The sequence below is a fragment of the Homo sapiens genome, chromosome 12 (assembly GCF_000001405.40).
Source record: "Homo sapiens chromosome 12, GRCh38.p14 Primary Assembly".
Classification (NCBI taxonomy): Eukaryota; Metazoa; Chordata; class Mammalia; order Primates; family Hominidae; genus Homo; species Homo sapiens.
In genome coordinates, this window is record NC_000012.12 from 18,418,818 (window position 1) to 18,437,736 (window position 18,919).

Consider the following 18,919-nt stretch of genomic DNA (forward strand, 5'->3'; position numbering starts at 1 on the left):
TATAGAGAAGGGAGTTATCAACTCCACAGGGTGTTAAAATATTGCTGGAACAGCTTCACAGGTAAATTGATGCTTGAGCTTGGAGTTCATGGATGAATAGAATTCCATCAGATGGGAAAGGTGAAAAAAGTAATAAAGAGGGGCAAAATATTACCTTTAACATTTTAAGTCTATGTAATTGGAGAAAGGTGATAACACAGACTACAGTGAGGAAGGCTGGTAGTAAAGATGTTTACGTGTAACGACAATGAGTTCAGGTTGAACAGTCTTCTAAGAAATATGTAGAGAGTGCCTACAAATCTGAAGGCATTGGGGACACATCTATGAACAAAACAGACAAAAATTTACTGCCTTTCTGGAGTTTGCATTCTAGTGGAAATAAACACATAGTTAAAGATATAGCATTCACCAAAGAGCATTGTTTTGTTGTGATGTTCCTTTTATACTCCTCTTTTGTCATTTCTATCAATAAGGTAAAATAGTCACACAGGGAAGCATGGGCGACTGATAGCTAACTTAACAAGTCATCACTTAGGCAACAAAACTTACCTAGTAACTATTCCCTCCAAGACTTCAAACTGTCCTCACACTGACCTTGATGTCTACAAGTTTCAGACAAATGGTTTAGTAATTGAGAGCAATAAATTAGAGTCAATCACATTTAGTTAGGAGAATCTAAAGTCTTAATGTACTAAAACAAGCTGAACTGCTTCTAGCTTTGCATTTTAATTGCACTCTTTCTGCCCTCCACCTGTGCATGACGTTATGCTGAGATCTTCTGACCTTTGCAATACTTCACCAAATGTGTCTGGACCGCAGTTCTCAGTAGGTCTCGTTGCTAGAATGTTCAACAGGAGAAAAATACTGGAAATGTACTTGCAGGTCAGAAATAAGAGTTTTGACTGACTAACCTTATAGGTAAAATTCTTGTTGCAATTAAAATGCTCAGTTTAATGAAGAAAAAATATGTAACTTGCTTAGCATTCCATTTGAAGCTGCCATCAAGGACAATTGAGTTATGTGATACCACTGTTTACTTGACTCGATGGCGGCATAGTTCCCATTTAACCCTTCAGTAACCTGATATGCTGAGAAAACACTGACCATTAAAGACTTTACAGTTTTCTAACCTCCTACTGGAAGCCAATCTTTAGAGCCCTCACCTGACTGGTTGAAAAGCATTCAGTTAGTTGTCTACAAAATTAATTTCTGGTTTGTTTGTTTTTATTTGTAAATAAATTACTATAAGCAGTTCCTTCACGTTTTAAATTATGCTTGTTAATTTTTTTCTAAAAAATTGTTTCTTTAAAATTAATTCTTCTTACCAAAGCCCTAGTAATATCTAATCAATGTCAAAGCAATATGGAGCCAAAATTATCTCCAAGCACTTCCCAGGAACTTTGAGATAATTGAATCTATTTCTTCTGATGGAGCAAGATGACAATTTGAGGAATCCATTTCAGGATAAATTGTCTTTGGAACAGGACTTCAAATGCTAAATACCTCACAAATTTATTTAAATAAAAAACATTTATTAAGTGCCTAATGGGTGCTAAATCTTACAACAGGCAAATGCCATCCAAAAATGAATAAGGCACAGTTTCTTTCAAGAACTTCACAGTCTACTAGTAAGATTTAGCTGTATTAAATTATTTTTGTTTATTTATTCTAAAGAACTTTAGATTTCTGGTTTGTGGTAAGATCTGGCTAAGACTGGTTAAAAATATTAGATCACATTTTGAATCATATAATCAGATTTCCAGTTGGTAATAACTTATTTATCAAATGCTTGGCTAAATAAGAAGCAAAGATTTTCATACTACTTTAGAAAAGATTTTAGATTATCCATAATCCACATTTTATAGATAAGAAAGCCGGCAGGAATCAGACTTAAAACCACATTTCCAAAGTCTAGTTGAAAGGATTTTCTACTGTAGTCCACACGAGAGTATAGAATATGAAAAAATAAGAATTATTTGGTGCTAATATTACCTTAATCGATTGTGGGATAATTGTTTTACCTTATGCACTGGGGGTAGAATTCATTCTCTGTTCTCCCTGACATGTCTTATGCATTATTCCTTACCATTAACAGCTTAGTGGATATATTTACTGTGTATTAGTTTTCCAGATCAAGAAATTCGTAAAGTGGCAGTTCAACAATTAGACAACCTCTTGAATGATGAACTACTGGAATATCTCCCACAGCTAGTTCAGGTAAGAATAGAAGAGTTGCTAAGGAAACCCAGGGTTTTAACTAATTATCTCTAAAAGGTTCCTAATGAATCAACAATAGTCTATCTAGAAGTGACATTGCAATTTGGCCACCCAAGGGACTAAATGATGTCAACATGGGTAATGAAGACATTCTCTAGCTGAAATTGTTACAATTACAAAATACATTAATTCCAAAAAGGAAAATTTTTTAAAAATGATTTCATTTATTAATTAGAATATGAAAAAATAGACATGCTCATGATACAAATTTATAAATATGTATATATAAAATGATAAAAATTACCAAATAAATGTTATGTAGAAAATAATCATTTGCTAGGCAGGTTTTCATAATTTATGAGTTTCTTGCACTTCTTTAGAGGCTTATAATATTGATAATAAATTTTATCACAGTAATTTCTAATAGCCAAATTTTGCCACCAAATAGTACATTTTAGTATCATCAAATATCACAATGTTGGAGTAATTTTAGAAAATAATATAAAGTTATCTAGAAATGTAAGCAAAGACTGATTTAGTCTGAATACGATGAAATATAAACAAGTAAATTAAACATGCCACACATGACCATGTAAATAACAGAGTATCTAATAGATATAGAATAGAAGGTAAGTTGTTTTTGTTTTTTCCAGGATGACTGTATGCTGACAGCTAAATAGATCTAAACTTGTGGTTTTTATGCTTTGTTTTGTTTTTAATCCAGCTTTTTTTTTTTATCTGAAAGGTCAGGTTGTTACAGCTAGTTTGAATGTCAGTTGCCTCAGGTTTTGAAAAGTGACTGGAAACTGGTAGAAGGAGCCTATATTAATAAACTTTAGTAGAGTATGACTGCACAGAGATTATGAATTTCTCTGAAGTTCTCCTTAAAAAAGAGAGCTGGTTTAGAAATAGCTGTACCAGAGAGTACAATCCAGTCTTTCTTGAAAATAAGGGTTAATCTAACTTACAAGTTTACCGTTCATCTCATGACTCATGGGTATGGCAACATGCTATTTCGAGCCCAATTCAGGAGAATACGTTTTCACAAAAGTCTGTAGACATTAAACTCATTTGAAAGTCTCTATCTGAGTAAGTACACTTGGCATCAGGAATGTCATTGAGACCCATATTGCCACAAATCCAAATGTATAAGACAGTGTGCACACAATCTAACACAGCAAATACACAGAAGGCAAAATTAAAGTTTCAACTATGTCATGATTAAAAAGGAAAGTTATAAAATGTCCTGAGATGGAAAGAAATAGATAATGTGACTAGAAAAATTTAAAAAAAAAACACTGGAAGAATTTCAAAACACTCATTGTCCTTAGACTTCTATACTCTACCTTGAATTTCAAACATTCCAACACATAAAAAAATCCTAACCTGTTGGTTGTTCTCTTGAATCATGCTATTTTGTTACGTATTATCATGTTAGAATTATGCAGTCTATATTAAAGCTGTAAGAAAAGACCCTAAGGCTGTAACAAAACAGAAGATGCAGTTCATAGCTAAGAGTCAAATAAGACCCAGACCCAGGGGTTACTGCAAACCACTTCAGATAATGTGGTGTTCACCAGAAAAATTGTCTACATTCTAGATGGTCAGGCGGGATTTAGGGGGAAATTGTAACAGTGGACAGAGTAAAGCAGGAAGCTTGGAAGCGAGGGGTAACACATAGATACTGGGTTCAAGAAGAAATAATGGGCAGACATCTAAAAAGGCAAGCATGTAGGTAATTCTGAAACATACCTCCTGCTCATATGCTCATATAATATGCTCACTATTAGGGCATAAATAAAACCCATGACCTAGTCAGTCCAGCAGTAGCACGTGAATGATAGAGTGCCATGGCTACAGTTTAAGACAGCACACATTATTGTCCTTCTATAGTCAGACAGCATCAGGAGTTTATGCAAATTTGCTGAACTCATCTTCAGCACCCTCACATCTTAGGAATTTATAAACTTTCCCATTCTTGAGGATGGCTAGCATATTGAGGTGTTTCTTCAAGTGTATGTATGACTGGATATTGTACTCATTTTTTCCTGCTGTCTGTACTGTGGTATAAAGCCTGGCTTAGACTCTGAAGCTTTGAGAGAGAGAGAGAGAGTGTGTGTGTGTGTGTGTGTGTAAGAGAGAGAGACTTAAATGGTTTATCAAACAACTAAAGATATAAGCTTTGTCTCTCAAGCAGGAATGGGCATTTTTATGAGAACTGGGTTTTCATTTTCATATATACAGATTCCTGGGATGATGATAGCAGCTCAGCTACAGATTCCTGTCAGTGAAGTCCCTGCAGAGGACAGATGAAGCCCTAAATTAGGTCCCTAAGGATAGTGGGGGCTGCCACTGTTATCTCTGTTTTCTACCCAGTTGAGTATCCTAAAAAACTTAAGAGTTGTTCACAGTGGAGATGAAAGAAAGGATTTGGGACTGAGTTACGGTAGTAACAGTCAGTTTTGAAATTTTAAGCAAAACCTCAAGGCCTGGAGGTTGATAATGATACACCAGTTGATGATGATTTCTGTTAAGGCTTTGAATGTGCATTAATTTCATCTCCAAATAGGAAAAAATATCTGTGGCTTAATAATATTGTATTTAATAATCCAGGACTTTTTGTGTCAGTATTCTCCCCTGGTACATGGTTGAACTCCACCAACCACCTGCCCTTATTTCTTATCCATATACAAGGAAAGGAAGCAAAACTATACAAATCCAAATGGTGTAATGTATATGTGTTTTGTTATTAGTCATATACCGACTCATAAAATCATCGAATGTGTTATTAGCATTTTGTTAAAATATGCATGCTGTTTTCTCTAGTCTTTTCTCAAGCCTCTGAAGTCCCTCTGTATTCTGCTATAATTTTGTTACTGAGAAGTAAAGTAATTGTGTCTCTTACTTCAGGCTGTCAAGTTTGAATGGAACCTTGAGAGTCCTTTAGTGCAACTTCTACTCCACCGCTCCTTGCAGAGCATCCAGGTTGCCCATCGTCTTTACTGGTAAGATTAACTAAATCAGGCAAGGATGCCTTTTTAATTGCCACCTTCTCTATGGGGCAGCTTTAGAGGAAGCAGAATATTTCTTTACCTTATAATTGATACAGACCATAAAATTCAGGCAGTTTTGAGTCTTTGTCAATGTCATTTTTATTTAAGAGGATAATGTGTCATCATTTTCAAAATCTACCAGTTGGACAGTTGCTACTGTTAATCAGGAAGTTAAATCCAAACAGAATTTCAAATCTGAATGATGCCTTTCTTGTAGCTTTAAATGACAAGTGCAATTTGTATATCTACTCCTTGAAGATTTTAATGTAAAATCTAGTTATGAGACTGAATGTTTTTGGAAGAATATGTGGTATAAAAATACTTTCTGTGCAATATTAGTTATAAACCATAAAATTCAAAGGCTAATGTATACTCATTCTGTTGAAAATTTCTAGAGCACTAAACTTTTCCCAAAGCATAAATTTGAAATATTATTAGTGAAGAAATAAGACTGATTCATAAGATGCCAGAATGTCTATAGCAACACCTGAGGATATTAGCATTTCAGTTTCCCCATAGTTTCTGCCAGAACTTAGCTTCTGTACATCAACCCCACTATTCCTTCACACACCGAATTAAGATTGTCAAAAGATGCTATTCCTGAGAAGGCTTGTCAGTTGGACAGTTGCTAGTGGAGACTAACGAATGCTAAAGGTGAAGTAGAAGAAGTTCAAGGACCTGGATTAGCTTGTGAATTTCCAGTCATCAGCCCAGGCTGGGTATATGACTGGAGCAGCTGTACCACATTCTCTACAACACCACGATATATGGAAGGGTATTATACCTACCATTTCCTGTACTTTAAATATCTTTAATGTTGCCATTCTCCAATTCCATATGGCATGTCCAACGTTCAGGGTGTCTATAGTATGATTGGAAATGGGTCCTGATGAATATGAAGAGATGGAAGAGAAAGATGAGGGGGAGGAGAAAAAATGATAATGATGATGCTGATGATGATTCAGCAGATATGGATGAATCAGAAGAAGATGAGGAGAAAGAGAGAGTAGAGTCTTTGATGTTCCCATTTGTAGATGCCACTGCTCGTGCCTTTTTTAGCAAGCCTTCTGCTGATGGAAGCATTGGGATGATTCTAGTCTGCTAAATAGATTTCTCAATAATGTAAATAACTAAATTATTCTCAGCATATAGCAGGAAAACCAGAATGAAATATTGTTCCAGGCCCTGTGTTCTGTATGACATTACATTAGGAATTGGATTGTTTTGGTTTGTTTTGTGTTTTTGAAGTAAAGAAGGAAATGGGTTGCTTTTTTTCTCTAGCTAAAGGACAGACATTTCTTTTTTTTTTTTTTTTTTTTTTTTGAGTCGGAGTCTCACTTTGTCACCAGGCTGGAGTGCAGTGGTGCAATCTCAGCTCACTGCAACCTCCAACTCTCTGGTTCAAGCGATTCTTCTGCCTCAGCCTCCCGAGTAGCTGGGACTACAGGCACACACCACCACGCCTGGCTAATTTTTGTATTTTTGGTAGAGACAGGGTTTCACCACATTGGCCAGGATTGTCTTCATCTCTTGACCTCATGATCTGCCTGCCTTGGCCTCCCAAAGTGCTGGGATTACAGGTGTGAGACACCAAGCCCAGCTGACATTTCTTCCTTTTAAAATATTTTATACTTAAAAACATAGAGAAATGGAGAGAGAATTGTTTTGAATAAGGATTTAAAGTGTAGCAGAAATACCTACACAAGGGTAGATAAATACCATGTGACTGAATGATTCTGTGAAAAGATTTCCTGAAGTTAAGAGTTATTTATAAATGAAATAAAATTTCTAATTAGGCCAATCCATGTAGTGATTTCTTATATTTTGTACTCACAGAGAACTAATTGGATAAATAACTTGAATGCTAGTGGTTTGTCCTTTCTTACACAATATATCCTTGGATTTAAAGTCTTTGTCATCAAGACCTTGACTTTGAATTTTTCATCACTACAACCTTGAATTTAATTTCAAGTCTTCAACATGATGACCTTGAATTTAAAGTCTTCAACACTATGACCTTTATCATATTATTCATAGATGCATCATTTTTGAAATGTAGTATGTAAAAGTATTTATGGGTTGTTTATTAACAAAAAAAATTCTTTGCGATGTCTCATGTGGTTTAAAATTACTATTTCTGTTTTGTTTCTCCTTTATACACTTGACTATCTAACTTTGTGATAAGTGACATGAATTTTATGTTAGGATTAAGTGTGTTTTCCTGAAACATTGATTTTTTTTTGTGATTATATAATTGAGAGTTAAGAATAAAATCCTTCTAATGTTAAAAACTCACTTATTAAAAACAAATTTTGGTTCCAATCCTGTTTTCAAAAAACGATTTATCCTATTATCACCTACACTTGATTCTATTGAACATAATATTCTTTGCATACTGTTCTTCCTACTTTCCTTTGTATTGTTAACCTTGTTGATTCAATTTTAATTTCATAGGACAAAGTTTTAACAATTATAAGTTTCAATGACCTAAGGATAAAATTAGATCTATGTTTTACTCTCCTGAATGTATGACAGGCATCATTTAGTTGCTTTGATTGATAGTTAAGACCACTAAATAACAGGAAAACAGCAAGTCAATATCATTTTGGAGTGTCATATTTTTCTGCTTCAAGAAATGTTACTCATAATGAGATCACTCTTCTCATGAAAATCACTCAAGAAGATGTAGCAAAGAAGATACACAGGAACTTGGTCGGAGACTGTTTGATTTGATGCTTATTTTCATTTTAAATGCCTAATTTAAAAAGCAGAACAATTCCTCTAGCATGTTATTATAATAAAACATAAGATACATTGACTGGCATGAGGCCCTTCCATGAATAGACTCTTATTAAAGCTCTGAATGAAGTCTTATTTTCTTCAGTTTTTCAGAAAGCTACTTTGGGGCAAAGGAAAGTTAAGTGGATACACTTTGTGGTGTTCTGCTGTCATATTAAATGTAAGACTCCATTAAACTCAATGTTTAATTCCCTTAAAACTTTACTGTTTTTTGCATGCATTATTAAAATGCACACATATTAAAAAAGTAACATAGCCAGATAACAATTTTTATTTTAATATTTGAACAAAAATATAAAAATATATAAAGTATAAAATATATAAAAGACAATGTTTTAGGCGGGCGTGGTGGCTCACGTCTGTAATCCCAGCACTTTGGGAGGCCAAGGCTGGTGGATCACCTGAGGTCAGGAGTCCGAGATCAGCCAGGCCAACACGGTGAAACCCCCATTTCTACTAAAAATACAAAAATTAGCCGGGCCTGGTGGCGGGCGCCTGTAATCTCAGCTACTCAGGAGGCTGAGGCAGGAGAATTGCTGGAACCCGGGAGGTTGCAGTGAGCCGAGATCGCGCCATTGCACTCCAGCCTGGGCTGACAACAGCGAGACTCCATTAAAAAAAAAAAAAAAAAAAGTTTTAAAAGTATATTAAAAATATAATAAAATATTAAAGACTTATTCTAATTGACTAACGATTGTTAAAATACTTGGACCACCTCAGTAAGTTCTTCATTTGCTAAAGTTGTATGAAAAGTGGAGTCATTTGAAAGGCAACAATGGGTGCACACAAAGTGGTAAATCAATGTCATACTTGCAAATTCATGTAAACACAATTACGTCACTGTTTCCAAAAAGGTTGGAAGGGAAGCTTTTTTGTGTATAATTCTCATCCTTTCGAAAAAAAAAATCAAGCCCATTTTTCCTTTCAGTGATTCAAGGAGAAACTAAGAAGGAATAGAAAAGAATATAAATTATAAATGGACTGTTTGTTTTGAGAGCTTTGTTTGTAAGAATATGAAAAAAGAGAAATAAAACAGGAAGGAGTTTTCTTTAACTTTTAAGTCCAGGGTCACACGTGTAGGTTTGTTACATAGGTAAACATGTGTCATGGGGATTTATTGTGCAGATTATTTCATCACCCAGGTATTAAGCCTATGACCTATTAGTTATTGTTCCTGATCCTCTAAGGGGGGAGATTCAAAAGTGCCTACATCCCCTTAAAACAAATAAAAATTAAGAATCAGGCAACATGCACTAAGCATAAAATAATATTAATTATATTTAAAATATATCAGAGTTAAAAAATATAGCTCAAGCCAAGCATCATATTTAGGGAGTGACTGCTTCTGTGCAAAATGTTTGTGTTAAAACTTTAAAGATGCAGCTCCCATCTCACGATTCATGAAAAAAAAATACTCAAAATATCTTTCCTTAAAAAAAAGTCTTATTTAAAAAAAAAAAAAACTAGAAACCCATCAGTCATGAGTTTATGAGATTTTTTTTCACGTGGATGAATTACTGCTTCCTCAGATTCACCATATTCAAAACTGAACTAAATATCCTGTCTTGCTCACACAGGTCTTGAGGTCTTCCTTGTTTCTCACTAACATGACCAATTATTCACCAAGCCCTATAACTCTATATATCCTCAACAGCGCTCCCTGCTCCACAACTTCCACCTGTCACTATCAGTGATCAGAAAGTTGCCTCACCAGATACTGAGCTATGAATAAGTAAGATTGGAATGAAAACCATCTTGACTACTTGGCATCACTGTGGGTAGCCTTTCTGAGAGGTGAAATTGACTTAGGCTCACGTGAGTCTCTTCCACTGGAAGAGTGAATGTAGGATGAATAGCCCCTATTTTCCAAGGCAAGTGAGTTAACTAGAAGCTTTGTGTTTGAATTTAAAAGCTTTACCTCACAGTTTGCATCCTAAAAGGTGGCTATAAATGGGAACCATAACATTTGGAGCTTATGCCCAGGAGGCCCCTCCCCCATTATGTAACAATTAATTACAAAAGCTTAAATGTAGTGCCCCTTTCCATTTGGAATAGGAAACACTTTAACCACTAGTCAAGTATTGAGTTGAGTGGTGGCCCCAAAGAAGATATGTCCACAGCCTAACCTCAGAAACCTGTGATTTGTGAATGTGACCTTATGGAGAAAAAGGGTCTTTGACGATAGAATTTAATTAAAGATCTTGAGATTAGTTCCCCCTGGATTATCAGGGTGAGCCCTGAATCCAATGCCAAGTGACCTAAAGAGAGGCAGAAGAGGAGAAGACACACACAGAGAGAAGGTCATGAAAAGGGAGGCATTGATTGCAGCCTCAAGCCAAGGAATGCCTAGAGCTACCATAAGCTGGAAGAGGCAAGGAAGGTTCTCCCCGGAGCCTTGGGAGAGAGCACAGCCCTGCTTACACCCTGATTTTGGACTTCTGGCCTCCAGAACTGTGAGAATACATTTCTGTTATCACTAGTTTGTGTTAACTTGTTACGGCAGCCACAGGAAAATAATATAACAGACTTTATGAAGGCTCTGAGTCAATTGCCTAGGATGTCACATCATCAGGAAGCTTTCCCTGACCCTCTCCCAGCCACCATCTGGGATTGAGTATTGCTTCCACATCATGTCAAACAGCATACTGTTCATGACTCTGCCAGACATCATATCACACTCCCTTGACACCACTGCTGCCCTGTCCCTTCCCCCTCTTAGTCCACAGAGTAGCTCAAGACAGCAATCATGTCACACTCTTCCATGTACCAATCCAGCACAGTATCTGAAACTCAGTAGATACTCAAAAAATGTTTTAAAAATTATGAATCCACAGAAATGTCTGTAAGGCCATCAATATTTTCACACACAGTACTGGAAATTCCATGGTACTCAGGGAATATGAAATTGGGCACTGTCAAAGGCACTGCTGTGCGCCTCTACCTGGCTGCTGCACCCACTCCCATCTGCTGCAGTGACTGCTAACAAAATACGGCCCCTTCTCTGGAGAATTAGCCTCTGATTCCACAGCCCCCTGGCCTACGAAGTGGGAAAATCTCTAAGATATAATTTACATTCCAGAGCCTCCCCATAAATCAGATCAAGGTTAGACTTGACCCGAGATCTCATCCTTGTTAATTCCTTTCCCTTCCCTATAATTCTGCTCTTACTCCCTCATAAGATTTTTCCTGAAGAGCACTTCTTCAGTAAATCACAAACAGTGAAATTCTGCCTCATGTCCTGTTCTAGAGAACCTGACCTACAATAAGTATTTCTTATGGAAGATAAAAATTTAAATATGTGTTTTTAGAAACTGGAGCATCAGTATGCTATGGGATACATCGTAGGTAGAACAACAGTATTGCAGTCTTTCCCACTCCTCCTACCAAGTCTGATTGAACAAACTCCAAGAGAGAACCAATTGGAATGAAAAACTGTCTGGTAGGAAACCATATTATAACACAGCTCCTTTTATAAGGTGTCACTTAAGGCACCTAATGCAAAAATCTCTTCAAAATGTTCCTTTCAAAGTATGGGGATAACCTGAAGTGAGGCTCCCATTTGCAAGCTCTATCAATGTAAGGATCTTTTTTCTGCTTTATTCACTGATATATCACAAGTACCTAGAACAGTACTTGGCACTTTATAGACATTCAATAATTTACTATTCAATGTATGAATAGGATTAAGTTTCCTGGACTCAGCTGTGCACATGCAGACTTATGTCGATAGGGGGTGGAGGAGAGCTGCTTCAGAGGTCAACTAAGAGCTGGCCTGGCTAAAGCAATTCCAGGAGATTGACCTGATCAGAAACGAGGCAATGGATATCACTAGTGAAACCAAAACTGGAGAAGAGGGAGAATGTGAGCAGAAGTCCAGGACAAACCAAGACAGGAGTTAGGGCCTAAGAACAAGTTGATGGAGCAGCATCTTCTGTACCAGTTGAGAAAACCACGAAATGAATTAAGCCAATGTTGTCTCTGGTACAGGGTATTAAATGACCATATCCTGTGACTTTAATATGCTATCCATAAAACTGAGATGATCCAAAAATCTGTCCATTTTTTTTTTAAATAATCTTCCCTCAACTCTTTTATCTAAAATTTTGGGGGCAAGTTCTCAAGTCACAGATGACTTTAAATAAAGCAAAAAGATGTGGAAATTTGGCATCATGAGATTCAAAGTCACAGTTGTCTCTCTCACCCGCCTCTCCACAATACGTATCCCCTAATGCCTGAAATTCTCTCATTTGCAAGTCACTCCTTGAGGTTAAGTATTGCTCTCTTCCAGCAGTTCTCTTCTAATATGAAAATATATATATTCTGAACCTAATGATTATGGGAATTAGTTTATCATTTTTTCATTAATGTGACAAACATAGAGATGATGGACACTGTTGAATGATTAACAATAAAACAAAGGATGATCCTTGCCTTAAAGAAGCTCAGGGGCTAACATTAGCATCCAGGCAGGAGGAAAGAGCCCACTGGCCACGTGGCAGGGACAGAGTAGAGAGAGGGAACTCAACAAATTTTGTCCACTTTACAGTTTTGCCTATGACCTTTTCCAAATAAAAGCAGAGAGGCAAGGCCAGACATCCAGTGAGTAAAAAAGTCTGTGTGCTCCCATTCTGTCAGTTTTAAATACTGATAAAGGCTTACAAATGAATACACAAAGGAGGTAAATGCTCTCTCTTTTTGTTTTGATGTCTGGAACACTCCCTGAAGCAAGGGGAAAGAGCTGTACTTCAGGGAGGTCTTGCAGAGCAATACAGCACACATGATACAGAATCCATAGGGGGCTTTAAAGCCTCAGCCCTTTACCTTTGAGAATCATTATTTTGCAACTAATTTATTTTTTTACCTTTACAATGTAATAAATGATGAATTATTGCTTCATCTTTTGTTAGGGAAAGATATGTCTCACTGACTTTTAATATTGATCTGCTGTAATCATCTTTCCACTTTGTTGTCCTCAGAAATGTATACACAGGATAGAATCCCTACCTTCAGCAACTTGCTTAAACCAAAAGCAACTGTTCTCTATCCCAACCAACCTGAAGGAAAAGAGGCAGATAGTGGTAACAAGGTTTCCTTTGTACACAATAATCTGTAAAATCCATTAGCATAGTTTTCCAGTGAAGGCATAATACAGGAACAGTTGTTTTTGTCTGTTTTGTTTCTATTTTATGCAATAGAGATTTTATGTAGTTCCTTTAATAAAAAGATTTTTAAAATACCATACAATCTTTAAATAAATTTGGTGTCATTTAAGCCTTATTACTGCTAATAAATATCTATGAAAATAGAATCTTATACAAACTTCTACCACAAATCAAGTCAAAAGCCAAGAAAAGAGCTCCAGCATCAATGTATCACTGGTTTAAATCATTTTTCCCTCAAAATCTTCTATTTTGTTAAGAAAAAGTGAAGAGTTATGGAAATGAACATTATGTATATACATAATGAACTCAAATGTTGAAACTTGGACCCACCCAGGCCTTTGGGAACTGAGCTTCCTAATCCACTGTCCAGCAATTTTTCATTATAATAACCACATCCAATTACATCACTGCTTCCTTAGATAGTAATCTGGTTTCCCTATAATAATGTTAGTCCCCCACTGTCATAGTTTATACTAGAGATTTGGGTTAAGTCCCTGAAAAGCAGTATTATAGTGTTTAATTATTTATTGTTTCTCAATCAGACTGACTTTGCTCTAGCCAACAAAAAATATGGTTGGCAAAAAGGCATTCTGTTTAGAAATTATTCTTGTCTTCTAATAATATTTGAATTTGGCATCCAAAAGGAATACACTAACAGATATTCATAGAGTTACAGTATTTTGAAGCCAAATGGGACTTGAAGGATCATCTGCTATCCCAGAAAGGGATCTCAACATGTTAAGTGATTTTTCCAATGACAATCATCTAAGCTGACTGAAGAATTGAAATTAAAATACGTTTATGATATCTCATGCCCAATTCAGATTTCTTTCTAATTCAACATCTACTTTCAAAAAAGGGTAATTTGAAGAATTCAGGAAATGTTTGTTTTTTCTATCAATTAGGAACTCATTCAAGTACTGAAGATGTGACTTTTTTTTTTTAACTTAAGAGCAAAACTGAAATGAAAACCATATTGAAAATTGAGATATTTAAAAGCTCAAAATTGTTGCCCCTAGTTGTTGGCATGACTCACAAGTGCTGTCAGTTGTAAATGTTAATAAGTAGGTATATACAATAAGCCCACTAAAATTGTATCCTTGAAGGAGCTTTGAAGTAGATAGCAGATTGTTTCCAGAATCTTTCTTTTATAGTGTCTAATTGATATTTAAAACATTAAATGTGTCCCGGCGTGGTGGCTCATGCCTATGATCCCAGTACTTTGGGAGGCCGAGGAGGGTAGGTCATGAGATCAGGAGTTTCAGACCAGCCTGCCCAACATGGTGAAACCCCATTTCTACTAAAAATACAAAAATTAGCTGGGCGTGGTGGCAGGTGCCTGTAATCCTAGCTACTTGGGAGGCTGAGGCAGGAGGCTGAGGCAGGAGAATCACTTGAACCCAGGAGGCGGAGGTTACAGTGAGCCGAGATCACGCCATTGCACTCCAGCCTGGGTGAAAGAGCTAGACTCCATCTCGAAAAAAATAAATAAATAAAAATAAAACATTAAGTGTGCTCTTTTAGTTTTACTATTAAACCATGAGTTATGATAACAATAACTGAGTAATCTACTTAGTAGACTCACTTTGTACTTATTTTTCAGCACCTATTTCATAAAACCAAGACTTTCTCAGTTTTCTCAAAAACACTGTTCAATTAAGCAACTACCAATTATGCTAATACAATTAAGTCACCCATTTCATCAAGTTAAATGAGTTAGAAAATAAATCCCTCTAGGATGGGAAAGAACATGACAATAATAAAATGTAGGCAAATGAGTGTTTGGTTTCCTTCCAACTAAAAATACACAGTAAGCAGTAGGGTACAGGCCTGAAGGACAGGGAAAAGATCTGGGATGGTGACAGAAAATTGAATGTCATCAGCTCATTGATGGGACTTACCCAGAATCCTTTCATCTTATGGCTCAGTCATTCCCTATCCTCATCCATTGGTGCTGCAGTAACAGAATATCTGAGAAATAAACAACAGAAATTATTTCTCTAAGTTCTGGAGGCTGAAAAATCCAAGATCAAGATGCTAGCAGGTTTGGTGTCTGGTAAGGGCCCAGTCTCTGCTTCCGAGATTGCACCTTGAACACTGCATCTTCCAGAGGAAAGGACTGTTGTTCCTCATGTTGTAGAATAGTGAAGAAAAGCAAACTGACTTTTGGGAGACTTTTTTATAAGGGCATGAACCCATTCATGAGTGAATAGATCCTGAACATCTTCCATTAGACCCCCACCTGTCAATACTGTTGCAATGGGGATTAAATTTCCAGCTCATGAATTTTTAAAGGGAACACATTGAAACCATTACATCCCCTAAATTTGGAACTCTCAAATGTATTCCCTGAACCTGGACCCAAATAAGATAGAATCATAGCATATAATCATAGAATCATAGAAAGAGAATCATAGCATAGAATCATAGAAAGAGAATCATAGCATATAATTGTAGAATCATAGCAAGAGAATCATAGCATGATGTTGGAGATGCTTTTAGATGCTAATAGCAGACATCACTTTTGTCTATATTCCGTAGGCCAGAAGTCAGTAATAATGCCCCCACCTAACTGCAAGGTGGCAAAGGAAAGTGGTCCATGTATGTATATATACAGAAGCAAAATGCAGTTTAATTTGGTAAACCTGTAGCAGTTTCTGCCATACAAGTACAACAGCATAGATTATTCAAGAAACCTCTCCATAAAGTGGTAGAGGAAGAGGGCATGAAAGAAAAGCCAATATCCACCTTTCCACATATTAATTGGCTTTCTTTTCAAAAACCAAAATTAGTCTTAACAGACAAAAAAAGATTACTAGCTAACTACTCCAGTAAGAATCATCATTTTAATAGACATCCTCTAAAAATGTCTTTGACTTTTGTCCAAAAATTTTACAAATAATTCCAAGAGATTTAACCTATGGGTACATTTTGTAACCAGGTTTTTTTTTTTTTCTGGAGGGCTCATTATTAAGATATTTATGTAGCCATGGTATACGACTGGCATCTCAGCTCAAGAAATTCAAAACTGAATTCAATATTCCTACCCTCTACCATTTCAATTCTTTCACCCACCATTCCCAAACTTTTAAAAATACACAATGCCCTAGTTTACAGCCATTACTAAGATATCCAACACAGAAAATCTAGAAGACATTATTCTTACCCAATAATCTTTATTTACTTATTTCTTAAGTCTTGATTCTCTTTTCTCATAAATTTGTCTTTAAGTTGTCCTTTCCTTTCTACTTTATAGCTAGCACCTTTGGTATCATCTACTTGGACTATCACTACCGCTTCCAGGCTGTTTTCCTTCACTTTCATTCTTACCTATCCCCAGTCCATCCATCCTCCACACTGCTCTCAGAATAATCTACACATGTAACAACTTGATCCCAAACTCATAAAGTCAGCTCCAGGTCATGGGTAACCTCCAGCTGGTTAGCATAATTTCTTAATTCCAGTTTCCTCTTTTCTTATGACAGAGTTTAGAATTAGGGTATGAGATCCATGTTAAGAGAGAAAATCCATTCTCTCTTAACATGACTTGGCAATGGAGCTTCATAGTTTCCACTCTGCCTATCTCCCACCTCATCTTGTAAGCCTTTCTACATCCAAATATAATCTTTCTTTTTATTATTCTCAAGTAGTTACTCAAATTCTCAAATCTTTCATGCCCTGATGACTTTGCACACAGTTTTCCAACTTCTTGAAATGCAGTTGTTCCCTTGTCTGTCTATATAGAATCCTTTAGGACTCAGCTCAAGATTTTATCCTCTTTGAAGATGTCTCTGACCTTGGCTCCCTTGTACACATCTACAATACAGTTCTTAACATATTTCATACTTTACTTGACCATTTCCCTTCCTTCACTTGAAGATACTTCTTCACTTCAAGATACTTAGAGCTACAAGTAACAAAAAAAAAAAAAAACCCTGATTCAACTGGTTTACAATTATATGAAGAATTAATTATTTTATCTCACATAACAAGAAGCTCTTCAGTAGTGTGGTTCCAAAGTTTATTATTGCAGCAGCTCACTGATGATGTCATAACCTAATTTCTTTCCACCTTTCTGCTGTGCCATCCTCACCATGTTGACTTGTCCTTAGTCTACTTCACATCATTGTTACAAGAAGATTGACACAATGGGTCTCACATCCATACATGATTCCATGCAGCAAGAGTAAAGAGAATGTCTCTTCCTCAGTTAGAAAATTTTTCCATAAACCCCAAAGCTGAGTTAACTTCTCATATTATTTGCCAGAATTGGGTCCCTTATCATGAACCCATCATATGACCAGATGGCAATCTGATGACTCAGCTTACATGATTGGTTTAGCATATTCAGAATTTATCTCTAAACTGGTCATCTTCCTCTAAGGTTTTTGATATCTGAATAAAAGCAGATTCTTTTTGCAGACATTAAGGGGAGAGTAGATTTGGTATAGACAAACCCTATGTTTCTCTTCTGCACTGTGAGGACAAAACTTAACCATCTATCCTTAACATAGAACATTGCACACAGTATACAATTCATTCAATACCTATTGAATGAATAAAAATAATCACACCACATACATGTGTATTGCCTACAGGTTAATTTACCTTGACTACTATCCTTAGAACAGCAGGTAATCAGAACAAGTCATATTACAAAAGATGTATTTTTCTCTTTTAAAAAAATGGACTCTCTAGCTCTCTGGAATTGGGTGAAGTTGAGTTAAATGACTTACAGAATAATCTGACGTTCTGAATAAGGGTTTTTGAAACAGTATCAAGTGTTACATTGATCCCGTTCATAGTGTGAGTTGTTTTGTACTGATTTAAAAACGATGTTTATTTTAACCCTGATTGAAAATGTAAGGCTGCATCTAGTTATCTGGCAAAAAAGTGTTTTCTGGGGAGGCCTTGTTAAGCAACCACTTACCATCTTTTAAAATACAATTTTCTGCATTGAGATTCTCTATGAGCATTGGGGAATTACTAAACAGTTTCTGATTTTTTCTGGCTTCTCTATTCTCCACTTCTATTTTGTTTCCCAGGGCTGTGAAGACTCAGAGTTCTCTGTATTTTGTATTAGTTAATGGATAAGGCTTTTACTTTCAGGCTCCATCTTAATTTTTTGTATCTTTGTTCATGAAAAGATTGCTCCTTGAAAATGTTGAATGGGGATTTTTCTTGCTTTTCTTCTAATTCAATTTTATACTTCATTTGTATACAATTAATATTTATAAGAAAATGACAGTTACTTTCTTGTTTATTGTCTAAAGAACTTCAGATGTGTTGCTTTTAGTGTAACAAAACCAAGACTTGGATATTACAATCAAACACTTGTTACATTTAATAACTTAGAATTCTTGTACTTGCTTTGGTATGTATGATTTATTTTTGACCAATGAAAAATGAACAGCTTCCACAAATAGTGACTCTTTAGACTTGACAGTCTACCTGATACACTAACCACTCTTGACAGAATGTCAGATAATTGGGTTATCTTGCTTGGGTTTAGTTATCTGAAGTTGTTAAAGGGAAGAACCCTAATGTATGTGTCACTTTCCTTTTTAAATTGGGCACTAGGCCCATATGTTCCTGAGAGTTCTGTAAATGTCATTAATTTACCAAAATGGTGGAACTTCTGTTTTCTTCCAACTAAAATTTATGATTATTTTTAAAGAGGCTGCTGCT

At 35.9% G+C, this 18,919-nt stretch overlaps 1 protein-coding gene and 1 long non-coding RNA gene across 18 annotated transcripts in view; one reads left to right on the top strand and one right to left on the bottom strand.

Moving 5' to 3' along the window:
* Positions 1–18,919, top strand: part of PIK3C2G (phosphatidylinositol-4-phosphate 3-kinase catalytic subunit type 2 gamma) — a 483,857-nt gene that overhangs the window by 175,857 nt on the left and 289,081 nt on the right. For all 17 annotated transcript variants that reach the window (XR_931307.3, XM_047429007.1, XM_017019471.2 and 14 more), the window contains 2 exons: positions 2,124–2,217; positions 5,128–5,222. Coding sequence is in view for 16 of the 17 variants with exons in the window: in XM_047429007.1 (XP_047284963.1) it covers positions 2,124–2,217; positions 5,128–5,222 (189 nt within the window). In the remaining variant the exon portion in view is untranslated. The remainder of the gene's footprint in view (positions 1–2,123; positions 2,218–5,127; positions 5,223–18,919) is intronic.
* The window catches only part of LOC124902891 (uncharacterized), a 32,969-nt gene that overhangs the window by 5,886 nt on the left and 8,164 nt on the right, over positions 1–18,919 (bottom strand). The window contains exon 2 of the long non-coding RNA XR_007063234.1: positions 15,133–15,202. This is a non-coding gene — a long non-coding RNA (uncharacterized LOC124902891). The remainder of the gene's footprint in view (positions 1–15,132; positions 15,203–18,919) is intronic.